Source organism: Homo sapiens, chromosome 18 (assembly GCF_000001405.40).
Source record: "Homo sapiens chromosome 18, GRCh38.p14 Primary Assembly".
NCBI classification, from domain to species: domain Eukaryota; kingdom Metazoa; phylum Chordata; class Mammalia; order Primates; family Hominidae; genus Homo; species Homo sapiens.
In genome coordinates this window covers 29,388,167-29,414,699 of record NC_000018.10, presented here as the reverse complement: position 1 = coordinate 29,414,699, position 26,533 = coordinate 29,388,167, and the positions used below count along the sequence as shown (strand labels likewise).

At 35.8% G+C, this 26,533-nt stretch overlaps 1 annotated feature.

Annotated features, from left to right (window-relative positions):
- Positions 15,137-16,336: an enhancer, noted in NCBI's record as "MED14-independent group 3 enhancer chr18:26978329-26979528 (GRCh37/hg19 assembly coordinates)". NCBI's record gives its function as "activates an origin of replication core promoter dependent on BRD2, BRD4, P300/CBP and CDK7 cofactors, and independent of MED14, by STARR-seq in HCT116 cells {active_cell/tissue: HCT116}" and the evidence as "EXISTENCE:reporter gene assay evidence [ECO:0000049][PMID:35650434]".

The following is a 26,533-nucleotide window of genomic DNA, read 5'->3' as shown; positions in this document are numbered from 1 at the left end:
CAGGAACCAGAAGATAGATACTGTGTTTTTTCACACTTAATAAGGAATGACCAGATGATTTTGATATCATGTCTCATATCTCATATAATGTTTTAATTTGGCAATATGCACTTCTCTGTGTTAATATAGCAATGTTCACTATATATGTATACTTTATATATTTTCCTATTCTTTCATCTATAAAATAATACAAATTATAAGCATATAAAAATTGAAAATAAATAAAAGGATGACAAATTGACAATACAAGGTATAAAAATAAATTTTTATAGGTTTTCAATTTATTGACATCCAGGAACTATGCTAGGTAATTTATATACATTTTTTTTTCATTTAAACTTGTACAGATTCTCTCTATAGACTAAAAGCAAATTTTGTAGAGGTTAAATCACTTGTACAAAGCAATTTAGGTATGGTATACAGAAACTAGGATTGAATGTTTAACCTACAATACTACCCAATTAAATTAAATAAAACAAATCACATGGTTATAGAGACAATGGCTCAGTCATTTTAAAAGTTTTAGTTATGGAAATCCTCAGTCTGTTCTCCAAACTGCTGTGATTTTTATATATCTTGTCCGGCAAAACCTTCTTTCAGCATTATTACAAGATATAGAGAAGTTAATTGCCATTTTGTCATGCCCATCTTGTATTCCAGTGTAAATTGTTTTCTAGCTAATTTCATTTTGGCATCTTCATCTTTATGCTCACAGTTTGACAATGGCTGTCCAGGAGTGCTCTTTCCTGTGCTCATCCTTATTATGAATGGCCGAGGCTCATGCATATCTAGGTTGACGTCTTTAATCAATTTTGGAAAATTCTGACATTTATCTCTTTAAATATTTATTCTACCTATGTTCGTTCATCTTTATATCTGGGAATCTAATAATCTAATTATACGTGTGTTAGACCGTTTGATATTGTTCCAAAGATCTTGAATGCTCAGTTGTTTTATGTCATCTTTTTTTTCTATTAATGTTTCTTTTGCATATTTCATACTGATTTCATCTATTTCACCAATTTTCTTTTCTTTTCTTCTCTTTTTTTTTTTTTTGAGATGGAGTCTCACTCTGTCCCCCAGGCTGGAGTGCAGTCACACAATCCCAGCTCACTGCAAGCTCCGCCTCCCAGTTCACGCCATTCTGCTGCCTCAGCCTCCCGAGTAGCTAGGACTACAGGCACCCACCACCACACCCGGCTAATTTTTTTGTTTTTTTTTTTGTTTGTTTGTTTGTTTTTGAGATGGAGTTTCGCTCTGTCGCCCAGGCTGGAGTGCAGTGGTGCAAGCTCAGCTCACTGCAAGCTCTGCCTCCCGGGTTCACGATATTCTCCTGCCTTAGCCTCCTGAGTAGCTGGGACTACAGGAGCCCACCAGCAGCCACCATGCCCGGCTAATTTTTTGTATTTTGTTTAGTAGAGATGGGGTTTCACCGTGTTAGCCAGGATAGTCTTGATCTCCTGACCTCGTGATCACCTGCCTCGATCTCCCAAAATGCTGAGATTACAGGCGTCAGCCACCCCGACCTGCTGATTTTTTTTTGTATTTTTAGTAGAGACGGGGTTTCACCATGTTAGCCAGGATGGTCTCCATCTCCTGACCTCGTGGTCTGCCCACCTTGGCTTCCCAAAGTGCTGGGATTACAGGCGTGAGCCACTGTACCTGGCCCACCAATTTTCTTTTGTAAGCCTTTTTTTTTTAATATACTTAGACCTGGAGTTACTATAGCACTCTGCAACCATGGAGAGAAGTCATCATCAACTTCAAAAATAAAAATATTGAAAGCCAAGTGAGGAGGCTCAAGCCTGTAATCTCAGCACTTTTGGAGGCAGAGGCAAGAGAATGGATTGAAGTCAGGAGTTAGATTCCAGTCTTGGCAACGAAGTAAGACCCTGTCTCTACAAAAAAATTTAAACATTAACCAGGTATAGTATTTTGTACGTGTAGTTCTAGCTACTTAGGGGTCTGAGGTGGGAAGATTGCTTGAACCCACAAGTTTGAGGCTGCCGTGAGCTATGATGGCACTAATGCACTCCAACCTGGGTGACAGAGCCAGACTTTGCATGTAAAAAAAAAAAAGAAAGAAAGAAAGAAAAAAGAAAAAGCGGCCGGGCGCTGTGGCTCACGCCTGTAATCCGGGCACTTTGGGAGGCCGAGGCAGGCAGATCACGAGGTCAGGAGATGGAGACCATCCCGGCCAACATGGTGAAACCCGGTCTCTACTAAAACATAAAAAAATAATTAGCCAGGCATGGTGGCACGCCTGTAGTCCCAGCTACTCAGGAGGCTGAGGCAGGGAAATCGTCTGAACCCGGGAGGCGGAGCTTTCAGTGAGCCGAGATCGCGCCACTGCACTTCATACTGGTGACAGAGCAAGACTCCGTCTAAAGAAAAAAAAAAAAAGAAAGAAAGAAAAAGAAAAGACTGAAAAAACATTCTCATTCCCTAATGAAACCATACCGTTTTTGAATTAATGCATCTTTGAGCTGCCTTTAGTATCCTTGCTGTACGAAATTTAACTTCTATTTGGAAAAGACTTGTCAGTTCCCTGGTAAAGTATACTAGAAAGTTTATAGTGTCATATTATATATGTTTACCAAAAGATAAATGCACAGCCAATAAAAGTAATATTATCAATTTGGTAATTTTAAGTAGTCTCTGTGATACCTTCACCAAAGGAACCTACAGATACTTGTATAAATAGACTATAAGGAAGATATCTTCCACTGAATATTGTAGCCAAATTTATGGTGCTTAATGTGTAAAAACCATTTGTGTGTACATGTGTAATATACAACATAGGTACTATAAGATGATAATTCTGTGGATTTTTTTTTCACAAAGCAGTATTCCCCTACCCCCAATATAGAATTAATGCGATGGAAAAATTAACTCTCATGGAATATATTGGGTAAGAGTTAAAAAACCTTAACTCCCTGAAATATGTTAAAATTATATTTTTATTTCTGGAAAAACATATGATGGAAAAATTAATTCTGATAGAATATATTGAGTAACAGTTATAAAACCTTAACTCCCTAGAAATATGTTAAAATTATATTTTTATTTTTGGAAAAACATTTGATGGAAAAGTTAACTCTGATGGAATAAATTGGGTAAGAGTTAAAAAACCTTAACTCCCTAGAAATATGTTAAAATTATATTTTATTTCTGGAAAAACATTATTATATAAATCTCATTCTTATTTATAAATCCATGGGAAACTAACAATACTTTCAAAGTTACAACTAGTTTGCTTTAGGTAGATAATGTTATATTAAAACATATGAAGTGGCATATAGTAAGCAGTCAGTGCATATTTGTTCCTAATGTTGATATAAAGAAAAATACTTTAGGTAGAAATTTCTAGTTCAACAAAGGAAAAAAAAACCTGTCTGGTGACATGCATCTAAAAGAAAATATTCCTAGGGGTGATCAGCGGTATTAAAAGATTTCCAAGATAAAAGGAGACAGCATTGTTTCTCAGAATAGCTCAGATCACCCCAAAATACCTTCAAAATAGTTGAAACTTCTGGATCTCCCCCCCTCCTTTTTTTTCTGTAGTTTCTCTCTTAATGCTTTGTGCAGAGAAGAAAGACAATTTTACAACTTCTTCTCAAAACTTAAGCCTTTAGTATAAAATTGAATGAAGGATAAGAGCAGACAATTTATGAAGCAGAAGATAAAAATAGTTAAGCAACTCATGAAAAATGTCCAGTTTCAACATTTCACTAGTTTTAAAAACATTCCTTTGAATGTAATTCTTTAATTTCAACATTTAATTAAAGGCTAATATTCATTAAAACTTCATGGTAAAAGTACGAGTATTTTGTACGTTCTTTTTTAAAGATTTTTCTGAATTTTATATAAAATATATTTTATAAGTAAAATATATATAAATAACCTTTATTAAGTCTACTTTAATGGAAGCCATAAAATAGTGCATATTTTCAAATACTGCCTAGACATGCTTCTTTTAAACATATGTACATTGTATCCATAATGTAAAATACAGTATATTATATATAAATGAATAATAAACCAAAAGACAAAGACATTAAGGTTATTAAAGATTGGAAAGAAAAAATAAAAATATTCATATTTACAGATGATATGACTTTCTGCATGAAAATCCTAAAGGATCAATAAACAAACTTTTAGAAGTAATAAAAGAGTTCAGAAACGTTATAGAAGAGAAGATCAACACACAACAATCAGTCACATTTTTATACACTAACATGTAGATACATAGGTATAAACTTAATAAAACATGTAGGATGTCTATATTTTGAAAATTACAAAATGCTTATTAAAAATCAAAGACCTAAATAAGTGGAAAGATAAAGTATTCAGAATTTATAAGACTCAATATTGTACATATGTCAATTTTCCCCAACTTAATCTATCTGCTTAGTGAAATTCCTACCAAAATCCCAAGAAGGCATTTATAGATGTAGACAAACTAATTCTACAATTAATATGAAAGACCCTGGTCCTAAAATAGCTAAAACAATCTTGACAAATAAGAATTCAGCAGAAAGAATCATACCACTAGGCTTAATACGTAGCTATATTAATCAAGACTGTGTGGTTTTGACAGAAGTTTCTGTGGTCTTAGTGTGTCTGAAATTAGTGACCTTATAAAAGAGGTGCAAGGGAGGTATTGACCCCTTCTTCCACACGAAGATACAGAAGGAGCCATCTATGAGAAAGAGGCCCTCCCCAGAAATCAAATCTACTAGCACCTTGATCTTGAACTTTCCAACCTTCGGGAATGTAGGAAATAAATTTTGTTGTCTATAAATTAACTCAGTTTAAAGTATTTTGTTATAGAAGCCTGAATATACTTTTGACAAGGAATAAAAACATAGATCAATGAAGCAGAATAAAGAACTCAGAAGTAAACAGACACATAAATATTTCCAACTTATTTTTGACAAAAGCAAAAAACAATTCAGTTGGAGAATGAAAAAACTAATGTTGGTTCCAGTTGACATGCGTTAGCAAAATAATAAACCTTAAGCCAAATTTCACACCTTACACAAATATTAACTCCAATTGGATTATATATTTAAATGTGAAATATAAAACTGCAAATTTTCAAGAAAATCACAGGAGACAATTTTAAGAGCTAGATCTAGGCAAAGAGTTCATAGACTTAAAAACAAGAGCATGATGCATGAAAAGATAAAAGTAGTAAACTGAATATCTTCAAGATTTAAAAGTTTTGTTCTTCAAAAAACCAACCAAAGAGAAAAAAAAGATATGTGAAAGAATGAGATAAAATATTTATAAATTATATATGCTAAATGGCTAATATCAATACTGTATAAACACTCTCAAAACTCATTATTTTTAAAAATGAAAACAATCAATCCAATTAGAAAATAAGAAAAAACATGAAGAGACCATTCAGTGAAGGGGATATATAAATGGCAAATTAACATACAAAAGGATGCTCTAGGGACATGCAAATTAAAGCCACAATGATATATCACAAAACGCCTATCAGAATGGCTGAGATTAAAAAAGATAAAACTGCAACAACAGCAAATGTTGGTGAGAATGCAAAAAAACTGGATAACTCAAACATTGCTGGTAGAATATGAAATTGTACAGCCACTCTGGCAAACAGATAGGCAGCTTTTTATAAATTACCATACACAGTTACTATATTCAATTGCCGTAAGTCCCAGCAATTGCATTCTTTGCCATTTATCCCACAGAAATGAAAACTTATGTTTAATGAAAAATCTCCATTAATGGTTCTAGCAGTTTTATTTGTAATTGCCAAAAACTGGGAAGGGTCCAGATGTCCTTCAAATGGTGAATGGCAGAGCAAACCATAATACATCTTATCCCAGGGAATGTGACTTAACAATAGAAAGAAAAGACTGATGAGAACACAACAACTTGATAAATCTCCAGGGAATTTTACTGAGTGAAACCAGCTAATCTAAAAAGCTTACATACTGTATGATTCCATTTATATAACATTTTTGAAATAAAAACATTTAAAAATGGAGAACAGATTAGTGGTTGCCAGGGTCTGTTAGATAGGAATGGGGAAGCCGTGGTGGTTGGGAGTGGAGTGGAGGTGGGATGAAGCCACTCTGTGTCTTGACTACAGCAGTGAATACACAAACCTATACATGTGATAAAATTGTATTGAGCTAAATACACATGCATATCAGCACATTTGAGTACAATTAAAACTGGAAAATTCTAAAGATCAATAGATTGCATCAGTGTCAATATCCTGATTGCAATACTGAATTATAGTTTGGTAAGATTTTACAATTGGAGGAAACTAGATAAACTGTAAAATAGATCTTCATTTTTTTTGCAACCATAAGTGAATCTGAAATTATCTCAATAAAAACTTGAAAAAATTTAGCTGGATGCAGTGGCTTATGCCTGTATCCCAACACTTTGGGAGGTCAAGGTAGGAGAATTGCTTAAGGCCAGGTCTTCAAGAGCAGCCTGGCCAACAAAGCAAGACTCCATCTCTACAAAAAAAATTAAAAAAAAAATTAGCCAGGCATGTTGGCACACACCTGTAACCCAACTACTCAGGAGACTGAGGTGGGAGGATCAGCTGAGCTCAGGAATTAGTGAGGCTGCAATGAGCTATTATCTCTCCAATGCACTCTAGCCTGAGTGACAGAGCAAGATCCTCTCTAAAATAAAAAATAATAATACATATTTTTTTAATTCAAAGGTTAAGTTTATCTGGTATCACCAAGAAGCAAGAACATTTTGTATCTCTTCCTCCAAACTTAGAACAGTATCTAATACAAGTTAACCCTAGATTATCTGGTTAGGTTTTACTTGGGTGCATTTTGAAATTCATATGTCTAAGGGTTTTCTAATACATTTTACTTTGGTATTATGCCAATGGACTATATAATTTTGTTACACAATTATAATAAAAGTATATAAATAAACATTCATGTATTAAAGACAATACATTTATTAAATAATATTACACACATAATGTTTATTTTAATCTTATTGGCCATTTTTACATTCTATGTAGGTATGACAATCACTATACACATTTGCATGTATCTATTAATATTGTGGTACTCAGGGGTATAAAGTGAAGTAGCAGTGAAAATATCTGAGGTAGAACAGTGAAAACCTTTGTTGTTGACTTCATGTACTTCCAAATTTGCAATCTCCTTCAATTCTGTGGCATATCATATTAAAATGTTTAAAATTTCACATTGTAATTCTGTTTTCCATTGAAAGGGAAATGACTGAAACTCCTCTATTTTGTAAGCACCATTTAATTTGGAATCTGTAAATGTATGAAGAAGACACAGGACAGCAGCAATACCATGTATTTTGTCCATCTACCCACCCATAATCATTTCATCGATCAGAATTTTCAACCATACACATCTGAAATTAATTTCAGGAAAAGACACTCACCAGTGATAATTTCCTTTACAACAGTCATCCTACTGTATGTCTATTATTACATTATACTGTCAAATAAATACATCTTATCACAAACCTATTTTCAAATTGTTGACAAATTGCTATGTTTTGGACAGCCTCAGAAATTCTGTTGCCCAGAGAGATGGCTACTGTAGAAACATCTGAAAAATATGATTGCTTTTCAGGTTGGATTTTTTTCCCCTTTGGCTTAAAAGAACCATGACATTGTAGTTTGTGACAAGAGACCCATAAACACTGGAATTGAAGTTTTACCACTATTTTCATGATCTGCTTATTATGTGTGTCATTTAAAGCAAATATGGACTGTTACTCCTTTCATGCTTATTCAACACACTATATTTATAAGCCAAAACCATACATCAAAAATGAGCCAAATATGTGAAGTACCATTGAATAAAGATTTACTTGTTACTAAGGTGATAAAACAACCCCGCTATTATTAATATGTATGAACTTTTAAAAAACCTTAGCTGTTCACAGCATTTATAAACAAACATACAATAGTGGGTCAGGCACGGTGGCTCACGCCTGTAATCCCAGCACTTTGGGAGGCCGAGGTGGGTGGATCATGAGGTCACGAGTTTGCGACCAGCCTGGCCAACATAGTGAAACCCTGTCTCTACTAAAAAAATACAAAAATTAGTTAGGCATGGTGGTGCGTGCCTGTAGTCTCAAGTGCTTGGGAGGCTGAGGCAGGAGAATTGCTTGAACCCGGGAGACAGAGGTTGCAGTGAGCCGAGATCACACCACTGTACTCCAGCCTGGGCAACAGAGTGAGACTCCATCTCAAAAAAAAAAAGTAAATAAGTTTAAATCAGCTGCACAAATGGGAAAAAGTCACTGCAAGTTTTATAATGCCACCTTTTTGAAGAATATTCAAAGCAGATTTATTCTATCCAAAAGAATTTGGAGTCCAGCAGGTAACTCAATGCACGGTAGCTGAAGACCATTGAACTAAGTAATTAAAACAACAAAGCACTATCTGTCTTCCAACTGCAAGACAGGAAATAGGAAAGAACTGTGAATTTGGTGGTTGTTTCTTAGGCCTTTCTTTTTGGAAAATGTATAGATTTTATTAGCTAAATCTTTTTCAATATGTAAAAATATAATATTCTTAAGCCACTTTGAAATGAAAGTACTTGAATTTCTCTGGCCATTAGCAGTCCTTGTTGCCTGACTGATTTGTTGACTATGAAAATTTACTACCTTTAATGATTTTCAAGGACAAAAGGAAAATATTGATTATAAACAAATACAAGTAGAGAAACAGTTACCTGGACTACTAATGCTTTGTTAGTCCAGTTAGTAAGAATTTGGTGTCTCAGTGTCCAACCTTCCAACCTCTCTTCCCCAAAACATCTGGGTTGGTCTTTATAAATTGCAAACATGTTTCATTTTACTCCCTAGCATAAGCCATTTCAAAGATAACACTACTGTTTATAGCATGAAAGCCATGCTGCTTTTCTCTGGTCTTATAACTAGGCAGGCTTCATGTGGACTGGAATCACAGCTGTTTAATTCACTGCTTCATACCCAGTGCATACACTAATACCTGACACATAATAGATGCTTAAAGAAAATTATTGAATGGAAGAAAACCTCGTTTTTCTCACTGCCTATAATCAAACTAAACCCTCTTTCTTCCTGTGACTTTCTTTGACAGAAAAGACCTTCTTTTACCTGGAAAATACATATTTATTTTTTAGAAATTTCCTACTGAATGATCTTTTACTGAGAATACATCCATCACCTTTTCTGTTCCCATTGCTTCACGTTGAATTGCTGTCATTCCTATTATAACATTTGTTGTGCTTATTTATTTTACATGTCGTTCTTTTGATTATCAGCTACTTGAAATCAAGGATGAGTTTTATTCAAATTCCTAATGCCACTTACTAGCACAGTGCTTAATAGGGATAAGATGTTGACTGATTGACAGTATAGAAATAAATGTATTTATATATAGTCTTCCTTCAATATTTTTATTTGTAAATAAATATAATCAACCTACTAAAGAAAAAGTAGAAGTAACTACAGGGAAACCATTTAATAAGACAAGAGATGGGTATAGAAAACACATTTTGTCATTTGGAGTGCAAAGTAACAAAGCAATAAGAAACTGAAAACATTTTAAACAAGGAAGTAACATGTTTTGATTTGTGTTTTAAAGATATGCTTCTGACTGCCTATAGAGAATATAATAGAAAAACAAAATTTGAAGCTAAAAAAGTTAGTACTGTATTGCTAGGAACCAGACATGAAATGATGGTGATTTATAACTGTGATTTGGTGAGGCTGTGAAAGTAGTATCAATAATAGGGACACATAAAATAAGAATGAGAAAAAGATAAAATTTCAACATGTCAAAATGATTCCCGATTTTCATCTTGAGCAACTAGGCTATAACGAGTGGACCATAACGTACTAAAACAGAAAAAATAAACTGTGCTAATGGAATAACATAAAGAGATAAACAGATGGGAGAGACTAGAATAAGCAAGATATTTATAAGACAAAACATTACAAATTTATGGAGAGTAAAAGTATTATTCAATATATGGTGTTAAGACAATATATTGTTAGCTCATGCCTGTAATCCTAGCACTTTGGGAGGCCAAGGCAGGCGGATCACGAGGTCAGAAGTTTGAGACCAGCCTGGCCAACATGGTGAAACCCCGTCTCTACTAAAAATACAAAAAAAAAAAAAAAAAATTAGCCGGGCATGGTGGCATGTGCCTGTAATCCCAGCAACTTAGGAGGCTGAGGCCGAAGAATCACTTGAACCTGGGAGGCAGAGATTGCAATGAGCCGAGACCACGCCATTGCACTCCAGCCTGGGTGACAGAGTGAGACTCCACCTCAAAAAAAAAAAAAAAAATTTAAAGACAATGTATGATTTTGGATAAATACACTTAGATTTTCTTTTTCCTGTCATAAACATTATGTATTTTAAAAATTATATTCAGCAAGTAAATACAAAATTAAAGGCCCGATGAAGCCAGAAGAAAATGAAGTTTGAAATATACTATGGCTAAACACTAAACTTAAAAGTGTTAGGAAATGTCACAATTAATAAGAGCAAGCACTTCCTTTGATTTCTTAAAAACTAAAAACTTACTACATAACAGGCAATCCAAATTGATTTTCAATCAATAATAGAAAACCTATTTGTGGAATAAGGCAGAGGGTAAATGCATTAAAATTTTATTAAAATAAATTTAAACTAACTATATTTTATGTTCAAAAATAAACTATTCATAATATAATTTTTAAAGACAATAAAGAAAGAGGATTCTGGGTAAATGGCAGAGTAGGAAGCATCAGAAACCTGTCTCCCCACAGACAATAATTACACTGGGATAATCTTTCTGATGTAACTATTTTGGAACTCTGGAATTTGTTGAGGGATTGCAAATTTCAGTGGAAGGCTTAGATGGTAAATTCAGGTTAATTTTAGTCAATTTCTCCTCTTAGCACAGTTGTTGCTAAATACTCCCTGGTTCCGAGCCTTAAGGTAGGAAGCTGTGCACATATTCCTGGAACAGCTTGCATACAGCTAGCAAAAACAACTCTGCCAAATACCAGGGGTTTAGACTATGATCACCAATTGCCACTTTAGATAGAAGAGGTAAAGAAAAAGAGGGGACAGCCATCGTGTTGCATGGATGCAAGCACTTCACCTCCTCCTTATTCAAGGTCAGTCAAGTCCATCAAGCTGAAGTGGCATTCAAGAGATTTGAAGGGCCAAGATCTTTTTATTTTTCCCCTTAATTTTTCTAGTTTTCCCTTTCTGGGAGGAGCCACATATTGAAAAGTAGGACATTAGAAAGCATGCAAATATATGTGGAAAATTAGAAAGTCACTATGTGTTTTTAAGAGAAGCTACAGTCTCAGAAGAGACCTGAGAAGACCTTAGTTTACATCTCAGTCTGATCCACAGCACAGAGACAACCTATAGCAATCAAAAAATTTAAAAAAAGAAAACAAACAAAACAAACAGAAAACTCACCAAACCCTGGGGAAGACGATAAGCTAATTCTAGATTTGCCACACTTACTGATTCCAATGACCAGTTTTTTTAAAAAATCACAAAGAATACAAAGAAACATAAAAGTATGATCTATTAAAAAGAAAAACTAACAGATTATCCCTAAAAAAGACTTGATGGCAGATCTACTAGACAAAGACTTTAAAACAACTGTTATAAAATGCTAAAAATAAATAAATAATAAGAAGAATGAAAGACATGAAAGTCATAAAAATGATATATAAAAAGAATGGAAATATCAATAAAGAAATAGAAAACTTAAAAAGAAACCAAATAGAAATCCTGGAAGCAAAAAGATCAATACATAAAATTAAGAATTCACTAGAAAAATCTGAGCAGTCAGAAGAAAGAAACAGCAAACTTAAAGATAGGAAAATGAAAATGATCAATTCTGAGGAACAGAAGATTTTTTTAAAAAAATTAAAGAAAAATGAACAGAACCAAATGAACCTATGGGATGCTAACAAACTAGACTACGTACACATTGTGGAAGTTCCAAAAAAAAAAAAAAGTAGATCAAACGATAGATAAACAGATCAACTAATAGAGATAGAGGGCTATCTATCTATCTATCTAATCTATTGATCTACCTATCTATCTTTTCTATATCAGATCTAGATATATTTTTATCTATATCTATGTAGGTCTCTATTTATCTACCTATCTCCTATTCTTTCTGTTTCTCTGGAGAACCCTGACTAATACAATCCCACCAAACTTAAGACAACAAAATAAATGTTTAGAAAATGTTTCAGGCAATTCTTTAAATGGCATAAAAAATCAATAATCATGAACACACTTTTTGAAATGATCAACAAGATCTGAAAAATAACTAAAATAAAACTTGAAAATTAAAAAATGTTACATTAAAAATTCAATGCTCAAGCTAAATAAAAATTTAGAAGCAGCTAAAGAAAGAAGAACTCAGACTGTTATTAAAAGAAATTACTCAAAATGGAGCCCCAAAAGATAAGATAAAAAATGTTAAAATAAAGTTAGAAAATATGAATAAGTTAGAAATTTTACCTCATGTTTAATCAGAGTCACAGAGAAAACATCGAGTGAATAAGAAATAGTACTGCTTAAAGAAATAATGACTGATTATTAACTAAAACTGATGATGAATCTACAGAGGTAGAAAGTATAATTTAAACTATGAAGAATAAAATAAAATAAAATTCTCACATAGACACATTGCAGAGAAACCGATGACTAGAAAAGTCAAAGAAAAGATTACCTATTAATAAGTGACAACTAGATAGATACCACTTCCAATTGCAAGAAAGCAAGCCAGAATTCAGTAATGTATTTTTTCAAAATGTGAGCAGAAAATGACTGTCAAATTATAACACAAACATATTTCAAGAACAAAGGCAAAATAAACATTTTCTTTCAAAAACTACACTTATTACCATAGAACTTATGCTGATAAAACTTCTATTAGATATACTTTTAAAAAACAAATTTATTTCCCAAAAATATAAGATAGAACAAGGAAATAGAGATGTATTTTTCTGCAGTTAGTATATATAAAATGTGAGCAATGATAATATCTAATTCATAGAGTGTAAAAAAGAACTAAGTAAAAAATCGGAGGCGTGCAAGTTGGGAATATATTTATATGGATTAAAGGTCCTAAATTATTACTTAGGAGGAGGCTTATGATATTAACTTAATTCATTACCTTACATAAAGAAACGTAGTTGAAACCAAAGAAAGCTGAAATCATAAAAAATGCAACATATATTTATTTGTAAAAATTATTTGGCACATCTTTGTGAATTTAAACATTTACATCTTTACAATCCAGTTTTCAGTCCTCAATTTATACACTGTTGCATGAAAATATTTGGACAAGAATGTTTATAGCCACACTGTTCTTTACAACAGCAACAAAAACCTAAATGGCATTTGATTAATTGGTCGATTTTAAAAAATCTTGTGTATTCACATAATTGAATTTTAAATAAGAATGAAAATGAATGTATTACAGCTACATGCAACACATTACCACGAATAAATTATATATAAAAGCACACTGTGGAAAAGTGCATACACTCTCAATATTTTCAAAAACCTCCAATACAATAAAATTAAGTAATATACTGATTAAGGAAAAAATGATAAGAGAGTGATAAAGATAACATAATATTTGGATTATTATTCACGAGGAATGAGATAGAAATTAAGTAGATAACTCCTGGTCAGTGTCAAATGGGGCCCCACTCTCAGAAGACCCCATACTTGATTCAATGCTCTACTGTTGCTGTCTTGAAATTCCTAATATTTTAATCTTTGAACTGGTGTTTTGTAAGTAAAGTCCACTGAGACAATGGTGTGTGCATGTGAGCAACAGGGATATGTCAGTCATCAACATCCACACTGAGGACTCAGAACTGCAGGTCTAGCAGCCAGCCAGGGCACAAAGCAACTCACCTGGCAGCCCAGCATGCATATGACACCTCAGGGTCCTCTGGGGCACTGAGGGCCCCAAGCATGTGGTCCCTAATTGGTGGTAGTGACAGCAGCAGCACTAGTAGAAGCAACAAGGCCATAGCAGTGGTTATGGGAGCAGCTGCAGCTGTGGGAGAGAAGCGCTTTTAATGAGATACCATTTTTCATGCTGGAACAGATTTCTTTGACAATAATTTCTTGTTCATTATAAATGTGGTTTCTTCTTATCTAAAGCACACTTGACATAAATTGCTCCATGTTAGAAAAAGACTTCATCTTATATTTCTGAAGTAATCAAGCCACCAGAGTTCAGATGTTTGCCTTATCAATAGAGACAACGCCCAACCAGAAAAGGCTTACCCTTTTTCTATCAGTCCTCACCAGAGGACTCAAGGGCCATAAAGTGAGCAGGACTTCACCAATTAGACAAAGACGCCTTGACAGACCCCATCTTGCACCCAGAATCTGCCTCTGAAGCCTCTGCTCAAATCAAGGACTCTTCCTGGCAAGATGTTGATGATTGTCTGGGTCAAGCCTGGACACACTTCTTGTCTCCTTCACTCTTCTTGGACGGGTTCATTAACCCCTTTTCCTATCTCCTTTTCTCTTGATGTTAAATGTTACTGTCTGGTATAAAATTTCAATCTATAACATTTATGTATTCATTAAGTATACTATTATGTATGATTTGTAATATTGACTGACTTGTGGAGTGGTTGATGCCTGTGTGCCCATGGCTCTGAGTACTGAGTAAATGGATACTAAGGAGAATTCCTTCCTTGGGAATTCCATGTAGCTTGTGCCTAATTGTTTTCTTATTCAACATTCACATTTTGTGAATCAGAAAACAAAAAAGTGATTTACTGAAATGCACACAAGAAAGGATTTAAGCTAGAAAAAATTAATTATTCCTTTATCTGCCAAGAAATTGTTATACTTTGAGTAGAAAAAGTTATTTATCTGCTATATATCTACATCTATCTATACCATGCTTATACCTATATCTATACAATCTATCTACAATTGTCTAGAGTAAACGGCCTTGGCTTCTAATGATTTGCTGAAAACTCACAGACTTGAACTAGATTTGAGAGACAGGACTAGCTGGAGTTCCTAGGCCAACTAAGAATCCCTAAGCCTAGCTGGGAAGGTGACTGTATCCACCTTTAAACACGGGGCTTGCAACGTAGCTCACACCCGATCAATCAGGTAGTGAAGAGAGCTCACTAAAATGCTAATTAGGCAAAAACAGGAGGTAAAGAAATAGCCAATCATCTATTGCCTGAGAGCACAGCAGGAGGGACAATGATTGGAATATAAACCTGCACATTGGAGACGGCAACAGCTACCCTCTTTGGGTCCCCTCCCTTTGTATTGGAGCTCTGTTTTCACTCTATTAAATCTTGCAACTGCACTCTCTTCTGGTCCGTGTTTGTTACAGCTTCAGCTGAGCTTTCGCTCGCCATCCACCACTGCCGTTTGCCGTTTGTCATTTGCAGAGCCCTTGCTGACTTCCATCCCTCCGGATCCAGCAGGGTGTCCGCTGTGCTCCTGATCTAACTAGGCGCTCATTGCGGCTCCTGATTGGGCTAGAGGCTTGCCATTGTTCCTGCACAGCTAAGTGCCCCGGTTCGTCCTAATTGAGCTGAACACTAGTCACTGGGTTCCACAGTTCTCTTCCGTGACCTACGGCTTCTAATAGAGCTATAACACCCACTGCATGGCCCAAGATTCCATTTGTCGGAATCCATGAGGCCAAGAGCCCCAGGTCAGAGAACACGAGGCTTGCCACCATCTTGGAAGTGGTCCGCCGCCATCTTGGAAGCAGCAGCCACCATCTTGGGAGCTCTGGGAGCAAGGACCCCCAGTAACAGATTGACTAATAGAAGAAAAGCCACACAGATATATTTAACATGCATATATGGAAGCCTTCAGAATAAAGACCCAACCTCTCATTGAAGTACAGAAGCTTGTATACCATCTTGAAGTTATAGAAAAAATGGAGGCGTGGATACTGGTAATTTAGCGGTGGAACATATCTGAGTCACATGGCACCAAAGTATGTTAGCAGCGGTGAATCTGTACAGGTCTGTAGCAACCTCAATTCTTTCCACGTAAGAAAAAAAAATCATCTGAGGGGCATAAGACAGGAGAGACCAAGGCAAGTTTTAGAGCAGAAGTGAAAGTTTATTAAAAAGCTTTAGCGCAGGCATGGAAGGAAGTAAAGTACACTTGGAAGAGGGCCAAGCAAGTGAGAGAGATCAAATGCAGAGTTTGACCTTTGACTTAGTGTTTTATATGTTGGCATACTTCTGGGGTCTTGCGTCCCATCTCCCCTGATTCCTTCCCTTGGGGTGGGCTGTCTGCATGCACTATGGCCTGCCAGCACTTGAGAAGGGTTGCATGTGCCGTGTGTTTACCAAAATTGTGCACGTGTTCATTTTAGGCATCTTCCCTTACCAGTTCAGTGTTACTACGAGGTCATAGACCAGTTATACTCTGCCATTTTGCCTTTTAGTGCACATATGTGAGCCCACTCGTCCAACTCCTGAGATCTTATTAAGGAGCTGCTGATCACCAGCTTCAAGTTTTTCTACCTATTGAGAGACTACCTTTCCATGGCGCTGGCTGTGGCTAATTATTTTAGAAAGACAGTTAACAACTGCCTGACCATAACCTGATGGTTGGTTGACATTCCTGGTGGAGTGAGGAGGGGTCCTCTCTTGCCTTGCTCATGTCTGACTAGCTACGTACTATAACAGTAAAACAGATATTATAGGAGGGAAGAGAAGAGGTATTTTATTGAGAGGTATTCTATAGAATACCTAACATAATAGGTATTCTATTAATAATTATTAAGGAGAATGACTGGATCAGGAAACAGAAATTAACTTGTAAATAGTTCTCCTTGGAATGTACCTGAACTTTGAGACAGTCATTATCTTGAAAAAGCATCTCTTAAGGTGTGGTCACATTCTTGATCATTCTTTCCTGTAATGGATAATGAGCTAACAGGGAGGGGAACAGGAACAACTGTTCTTCATGGTGGGGCAGTTCTATTTTTATATACCTAGGGGAAAGTCTCTTCCAGTGCTTGTTAATCTCTGAGAGTTTTTAATTTGAAATACTCATTATACCAGGGAGTCGTATTTTGGGGTGAAATATGCTAATTTCTTTCAAGGCCTTGTAGAAATAACGGCTGATTTTTTTTGCCAGCATCAATAGTGTGCTGTGTGTAATATAACTAATTAATTGCAGAACTGAATAATTACTGAACACAAACTTTGACTTTAAAATTTAGTGCTTTTTCTACACTGTACTCTTTCCACACTTTCTGCTGCCTGTAATGAGTTACACAATACATATATAAAACATTCATTGATTTTATATAATTACAGTTCATAAAAATGATACAGTTACATGCTGGACAGAATCATTTTCATCTTAAAAACATTATTATATTTCATACATCAGGAATTATAAGCCTTTCATTTGTCACAAGAAACAGAAGCCTTCTGCAAAATTTAATGTGCCACACAAGTCTGATATCTTTTATGCGTATTTAATAGGTTAGTCAATCCAGTTGCAAAATAAGCCCACTAGTTTTATTTTTAACTGTTCCAGAATATGTATAGGATAGGACTAGAAGACCATCTGGTATTAAGTGACTCAAATATATAGAAAGAGGCCAGGCGCAGTGGCTCACGCCTATAATCCCGGCACTTTGGGAGGCCGAGGCAGGCAGATTGTGAGGTCAAGAGATTGAGACCATCCTGGCCAACATGTTGAAACCCCGTCTCAACAAATTAGCTGGGTGTGGTGGCATGCACCTGTAGTACCAGCTACCCAGGAGGCTGAGGCAGGAGGATTGCTTGAAGCCAGGAGGCAGAGGTTGCAGTGAGCAGAAATTGCACCACTGCACTCCAGCCTGGTGACAGAGCGAGACTCCGTCTCAAAAAAAAAAAAAAAAATCTATGTCTATATCTATATCTATATCTACAGAAAGAAACACAAAATATATACCCATTTATTTTAAACACAAAATATATATCCATCTATCCTAAACACAAAATATATACCCATCTATTTTAACATCAAATGACTAAATAATGGTTTTAACAATTTGAGTCACATTTTAGGAAAAGAAAACAAATTGGGATTAGTACACGAAACACCAATTTGCTGGGCCATTTGATTATAAGAGAGACATTCAACTGTGCAAACTAGAGAAAAGCTGACAGTACCTTAATTAAACTGATACTACAAGTGACATTGTGATAGTGTAGTTGTCAGGGTATAAATTCTTGTAACATCAAATAAAAGTGACAAACATCCCCCAAGGAACTAGTGTAAGTTCTTCTAAAGGGGACTGGTTTACACAAATTACTCATAGGGCATTTCATTTAAATTACTTAGAATCCAAGTGAACCTGGGCTTAACAAAAGCATTTGTCGTATCTGCTGCATAGACAGAAGAAAAGATGAAAAGAATCTTGGGAATTTTGATTTTGGGACATTGGCCAGAAATGTAATTTTGAAGTAAAATATTTTTAGATTTTTTTAATGGCTTTACCATTATTATTTGAGAATTGTTGGGTAACACATTGCTGACATAGACATCAGAGAAAGACTTTTGGAGTGATGGATAGTTTTATAATACAGAAGGCTGTTATCGTCATTTGCATACTGCTGCAAGCTTTGCCTCTTTAGAAAGATTATACATGACCCATAAGTTAAGAATTTTAATTTTCAAATACAATTTAAACGTTCTTTTCTACTTCTCTGTGAAACGAAGTCTAGCCTTGCCAAAGCAGAACATGTGTCAACCATAACTAAGAATGCTCCTGAGCTACCAGAAAAGTGATTCCTATAAAACTAAGTATTACTGTAACACTTGTCCCTCACTACTGATGAGATGCGATGGCCCTGCTGGTAGTATGAAGACAGCGAACACCGGTATGACAGAGTGAGAGTGTTTCACACTCTCACTCTGTCAGGCAGCCAGGCTTTCATACTCCAGAAACTTATACTGAACAAAGCCAACAACTTTGACAAAGCACACGAAATTCTGGTGGCTTCCCTCTAAGCCAGCGTGCTCATACCTCCAAAAGAGGTGAATGGGGTCAGGACAGTGCTGAGCATTTACCTAGAAAGATATACTTTGGCAACAGGTTTGTAGAGCTGAAGGATGTAAAATATTAAGTATTTACAAGAAGGTAGTGACTCTGTGTGGCAATTTGAGAAGACTAATTAGGTTCCATCTAGTCTTAAAACATGACCGTCAGTAGCTTCTGGCTGTAATGAATACTCTTTGGTATAACTTCTTTCTAGTTGATGTCTCCCAAAGTAGTCCTGAGAATACCTATTAATGGACAAAATCATGGCCTTAGTATCCACCAATCATTACTGAAGATTTTTTTATAGGATTATCTATTATAGTAAGCCCTCTCCCAGACATCAAGTCCTGTAATAAAGAGGAGAAAAAAGTAAACTGACACTTTAAAAAACATCTGGAACACAGTTGGGTCTAGTCGGTATTGCTCCCCTGTGTATGGGGTCCCCCCAGTTGGAAAACCTCTATCGGCTTTATCACATAGGTGCTACTGCTTTATTCCATCCATATGTTTAGTAAACATGAAAAACTGAGACAATATTTGTTTCAAAACGTGCCTTGGGAATAAGCTTCCTCTTAAACCAAAATGGCTTAAAGACAATTTTAACCTACAACTTCCCTCAGGAAATGTATGATAGCAAGAGCTGGAAAGGATTGAAAAACTCCTTGAACTTAGCACTGGAAGAGGATGTAGATGAAATCCTATGAATACACTAGATTTTGAATTATTGATTTTATATATAGAAATATCAGAATTTCTAACCTCAATTGGATAGTTTGTCAGATTATTTATATAATTTTCAAATAGTCATTTTGGTTCATCATTATTTCCAAAGTTTCTACTGAAATTTTGCTCAAAGGTGTATAGAAATGTGCAAAACAAAAAGCTTTGTGGTCAATGAGCTCTTGTCTTCTTTCCTTCCTTCCTTCCAGCTTCCTTCCTTCTTTCCTTCCTTCCTTCATTCCTTCGTCTTTCTTTCTTTCTTCTTTCTTTCTTTCTTTCTTTCTTTCTTTCTTTCTTTCTTTCTTTCTTTTTCTTTCTTTCTTTCTTCTTTCTTTATTCTTTCTTTCTCTATTAATTCGTGGCATGATCATTTAAAGTGATATTTTAAAACAGAAGAAAGCAAATAAATCTATATCAAATTATATAACATAAAAATTAGCATTGCATCTTATCACCACAATGCTTACTCTGAATTTAGAAATAATTGAAGTCATCTAATGCAGGCATCTCTCATTTTCCTGCTCTATTCTTTATCGTTTCTGTGTATCTTTGTTGTCATTTTCTTCTCTCCTGTTTCAGGAAGTGTCCCGTTCTTCAAGATTAGCTCTTATATATTGTTTCTTTCTTTAACCATTTATAATACAATATTCTACCAAATGTTTCTTTATATTACATGTTCAATTTTCCCCTTCCAGTGTGCCCTTCTTCCTCAGTTATTACTTATAATGGATACACCTTCTCCCGTAAAAACATGGCCTAATCTACAAACAAGAACACTTCTTCCCTGTCATTTATTCTCCCCGACTAGCAAATTTAAAACAATCTCTCTTTTCTCTTTTCCACACATAACTCCATCATAAAGACTTGTCAAATTATTAGATTTTGCCATTAAAAGGAATGGCCAAAACTGCAATTATTTTTGCACAAACCTAAAATATATGCCAAAGTTGACAGTTTCTTATCACCTCCATTACTACTGTAATCCAAAGCCACACTTATCTTTCTCTGGACAGATCAAAATAGTTACTCACTGGTGTCTTTACTTTACCTTCTCCTCCAAATATCTCTATTCTTCACTTAGGTGTTATTCTTTAAAGCAAGGTAATTTATTTCACCCCTTTGCACAGAAACCCTAATGATTTCCTGTCTTGTTTGAGCATAAAAGCTAAAATCCTCAGTATGACAAGATATTCTTCCTTGCTATCTGACTCCATCTCTTACCCCTTTCTCTCTGTAGCTTATGCCAAAGTATTGCCTCACTACCCTTCCTCTGCATGCCAGGGTGCTATCACATGGGAAGTTTTACAAAATCCTTTCTTCTGCCTAGAAAAAAACTTGTTCCTCTGCCCTTTCCCTCAGATAGCCACATTTCTTGTTCCATCTTCTTCAGGTCTACGCTCAGATGTCACAACAGCATAGATCTTCTTTGACTAGCATCCCTCTCTATCTCTTTAAACTCACTTATCTTTTCTTCATAACACACAGTATCTGTTGATATAGCTACCAGTTTATATTTTCCTACGAGACTGTGAACTGATGTGAGCCGGTTTTCTTCATTCCTTCAATTACAACAGTGTCCGGCACACAGTAGGTGCTCAAAAACATTTGTTGAATAAGTGAATGAAATCCTTGAAGTTTTCTCTAACATTACCTATGTTCTTATTGGCAAATGGTGAATCACTTAGGAAAACAGAAATTGCTAGGAAAACAGAATTATTGGGAGGGGGTGAGTGAACAATTTTAAATTAATTCACTCACAATTTGAAATAATTTTTAAAGTAAATATAATGAGAAAAAAGTTGTATTGGAAGGTTATCTTGAGAAATTAAACTAAACTTAGAAAATTAGTTGTTTTATGTTGTATTTTAATGTTTGGGATTACAATAGCAATTACACTCTAGATCTCAGCACCACATAAAGAAATCAATTGTAATACTTGTAGAAGGAAATAATTTATCCTTCTATATATATATTGTGTGCAGTATCTCATACATTGTACCATGCATTTAACACTTTCAGAGTGACTTTTCTGACAGTCATTTTTAACAAACAAAAAAAGCATGAAGTTTCATTAATTTTCAGAAGAGCCTTTCAAGAATTTTACATGCAATTCATTCATTTTGGAAACTTGTATTGATTTTCTTCTCTTTGAGTAATAACAGATTCAACTGTCAGAGTCTCAGTAGTCAATGTGCTTGAATAAGGTTTGACAACTACTCCAAAATCATCAAGTGAAATACTGAATCTTTACATTTTTTTCATTTTGTCATATTTAGTATTGTAGTTACAACAGAAACATGAAACTGACAAAGATTTTGACGCTCTTAGTAATGATATGTCCTAAACAAGTATTAAGTAGAAAGAAATATTTGAGAAGTCACTTTATTAAGTGCTTTTATGTTATAATGATTTTTGTTTAAAGATTTTGATGACTTTTAATGTTCCGTGAAACTTTCTGTTTACAGGGATTCAGATAATAAATACCCTAATGTAGATTGATTGCATTATGAAAACAGATCAGGTGAACTTGGAAAATGGGATAGAACATTTTAGTTCTGGGTCCCAGTTCTGTCCCTTAATAACAGTAATGGCACTTTCCAAAAATACACAAAGTTAGCATCTAATTAACTCTGGCAAAATATACAGCTCTAAACTATTTTTTGTGTCCTGAATTGATGCCAACTGAAATTATGACAGCTGGGATACCAACTGTATTAGTCTGTTCTCACACTGCTAATAAGCAGTGTGAGTCTGGGTAATCTATAAAGAAAAAAAATTTAACTGACTCACAGTTCACCAAGGCTGGGAAGGCCTCAGCAAACTTACAATCATGGTGGAAGGGGAAGCAAACATGTCTTACATGGGGGCAGGCAACAGAGCTTGTGCAGGGGAACTCCCATTTATAAAACCATCAGATCTCATGAGACTTATTCACTACCATGAGAACAGTATGGAGGAAACTGCCCCCATGATTCAATTATCTAGACCTGACCTCACCCTTGACATGTGGCCATTATTACAATTTGAGGTGAGATTTGGGTGGGGACACAGCCAAACCATATAATTCCACCCCTAGTTTCTCCCAAATCTCAGGTCCTCTCTTTTCAAAAACCAATCATGCCTTCCCAATAGTACCCCAAATTCTTAACTCATTTTAGCATTAACTCAAAAGTCCATGGTCCAAACTGCTTTCTCTTGCTGGCATTGAGTGTCTGCACCTTTTTCAGGTGCATGGTACAAGCTGTCTGTGGATCTACCATTCTGGGAGCTGGAGGACCATGGTCCTCTTCTCACAGCTTCACTAGGCAGTGCCCCAGTGGAGACTCTATGTGGGCACTCCAGCTCCACATTTCCCTTCTGCACTGCTCTAGCAGGAGTTCTCCAAGAGGGCCCCAACCCTGCAGCAAACTTCTGCAGGAATTTCCATACATCCTCTGAAATCTAGGCAGAGGTTCCCAAACCTCAATAATTGACTTCTGTGTACCCACAGAGGTAACACCACATGGAAGCTGCCAAGGCTTGGTGCCTGCACCTTCTAAAGCAATGACCTGAGATGTATGTCGGTCCCTTTTAGCCACAGCTGGGACACAGGGCACCAAGTCAAGTCCCAGGACTGCACAAAGCAGCAAGGCCCTGGGCCAGGCCCACAGCACCATATTTTCCTCCTAGGCCTCTAGGCCTGTGATTGGAGGGGCTGCTGTGAAGCCCTCTGACATGCCCTGGAGACATTTTCCCCATTGTCTTGGCAATTACCATTTGGCTTCCTGTTACTTATGCAAATTTCTGCAGCTGGCTTGAATTTCTCCTTAGAAAATGGGTTTTTCTTTTTTATCACATTATCAGGCTACAAATTTTCTGAACTTTTATGCTCTGCTTCCCTTCTAAACATAAGTTCCAATTCCAAGCCATATCTTTGTGAATATGTAACACTGAATGTTTTTAACAACACCCAGGTCACCTCTTGAATGCTTTGCTGCTTGGACGTTTTTTCCCGCCAGATGCGCTAAAACATCTCTCTGAAGTTCAAAGTTCCATGAATCTCTAGGGCAGGGGCAAAAAGCTGCCAGTTCCTTTGCTAGAACATAGCAAGAGTCACCTTTGTTCCAGTTCCCCACAAGTTCCTCATCTCCATATGAGACCACCTCAGCCTGGACTTTATTGTCCATATCACTATCAGCATTTTGGTCAAAGCCATTGAAGAAGTTTTTAGGAAGATCCAAACATTTCCACATCTTCCTCTTTTCTTCTGTGCCCTCCAAACTGTTCCAACCTCTGTCTGTTACCCAGTTCCAAAGTGGCTTCCACATTTTTGGCTATCTTTACAGTAGAATCCCACTGTACTGGAACCAATTTACTTTATTAGTCTGTTCTCACACTGCTAATAAATTTATAAAGGAAAGAGGTTTAATTGACTCATAGTTCAGCATGGCTGGGGAGGCCTCTGTAAACTTACAATCACGGTGAAGGGGAAGCAAATACATCTTATGTGGGGGCAGGCAACAGAGCTTGTACAGGGGAACTCCCATTTATAAAACCATCAGATCTCATAAGACCTATTCACTGCTATGAGAACAATATGAAGGAAACTGCCCCAATGATTCAATTGTCTCGACCTGTCCCCACACTTGACACATGTGGATTATTACATTAAAGGTGAGATTTGGGTGGGGACATGGCTAAACCATATCACCAATAGAATTTAGCATGCAATAAATAAATGGTGATGTGTTCATTCATTTGGATGAACCAACTAGTAGATGCCCTTTAAAGTGAATGGGCTGATGATAGTCAAGAAAAAAGCAAAAACAAGAAGAGTCTCAGCAGTAGTTTTACCTAAATGATGAGTGATACAAACACATCAAGCTGTGAAAAATTCAAGTATTCCAGAAACAGGCACACATATAGAAGCAAAGGCAGAATGAACTGATAAAATTCAACATATAGGGACATAGGCCTAAAAGGAGAAAAAAGTGTTTATTTCTACTTTCTACTTCCGTACCCAACACAACACTTCTGATACCAGATGTGTAGAGGTTCTTTTTCTACACACCAATAAATTCTGCAGTGTCCAGCCAGATGCCTTCTAATTCAATTTAATTCTGACACTAGCTACCAGAAGATAATGTCAGATCCCACTGGTTGAGGGCCTCAGTCCCACAGGACTGCCTCCACTTTAGATGTCAGTGGCAAGTAGTAGACTGTCACCTATACTTCTGACTGACAGTATAATCAAGGTTCCCATGACTCCACCTTGGGTTAGATTTGCTAGAACAGCTCACAGCACTCAAAAAAACACTTTACCCGTGTATTATAAAGAATATTAAAAATTGTAAAGATGAACATCCAGATGGAAGATATGCATAGGGCAAGATATATAGAAAAGGGTCACAGAGCTTCCATGCCCTCTCTGTGGCTGCCACCTTCCAGAGACCTGCATGTATTCAGTTGTCTGGAAACTCTTTAAAGGCTGTCTTTTTGGTTTTTAGAGAAGCTTTATTAAGTAGGCAGTATTGAGCAAATCACTGGCCATTGCTGATCAACTGAGCATTCAGCCCCTCTCCCTTCCCTGGAGGTTAGTGGGGTGGGCTGGGGGGTGAAGGAGGGGGCTGAAAATTCTAACCCTCTAATCACACAGTTGGTTCCCCTGGCAAGTAGCCCACATCCTGAGGCTATCCAGGAGCCCTCAGCCATCAGTTACCTCATTAGTGCAAAAGAAACTCTATCATCTATGAAATTCCAAGTGGTTGGGGGCTCTGTGTAAGAACTAGTGTCAAAGATAAAATATCAGCTCAAAAGAATCTCATATTACACCTATCTGCAAATGTTTTAGGAGCTCTGTGCCAGGAAAGATGGGTCAGCAACCAAATATATATTTCATATTATATCAAAACAGGTTTTAGAGACTTGCTAATGCCATTGCTTTCTTGAAAAACACTAATGAAAAGGTGCAATACTTTATTATCTATATTTAGCCTCTTTTGGTAGGTGATTCCCATAGAACAGATTGTATCTGATGGATATTCCTCTGTAAGACAGAATTTCTCAAAGAGATGAAATGTTTATAGAACTCTAATTGATTTTACCTAAAAATGTCTATGATCCTTTAAATATAGGAAACAGTGACTTGAACAAAGCCTAAATATTTCTTTGCTTGCTTGCCTATTTAGTTGCTGTTGGTAGCAATTTTGGTGGGGGAGGATGGGGGAAGATATGAAGGAAGTTGCATTTATTTCTCCAAACTTTGCGAAGGCAATTGTTAACTTCAATTTCTCATGGGAAATTGAAATATAGTATTACTAAAAATTATTTTTATAATTTTTATAGGAAGAAAAGTATACTTTAAGGAGAGTTGTATTAATGTTATTTATTTCCTGTTGTTTTGATTATACAGTTACCAAGCAATAGACTAAACATTAATTGGCTACTTGTATAAACATTTCTACAAAAAGTGGAACATGCAGACCAGTCACATGCAGGCTAGTCTAATCTCCCTAGAAAGTCTTCTTTTTTTTTCTTTTTTTTCTGGGGTTTGGTCCATCATTAACAGATACCTAACTCTAAGTAAATATTAGCATGCTTTCATACCCAGAAAATAACCAAATAAAGATAGATTCTGCATAAATGTCCAGCAATATTTTATTTTATAGGGGGTGCTGAATATGTTTATTAGTAACACATACATTCCAAATCAACTATACAAAAAGGAATTAAATAAGGTAAAAAGAAAA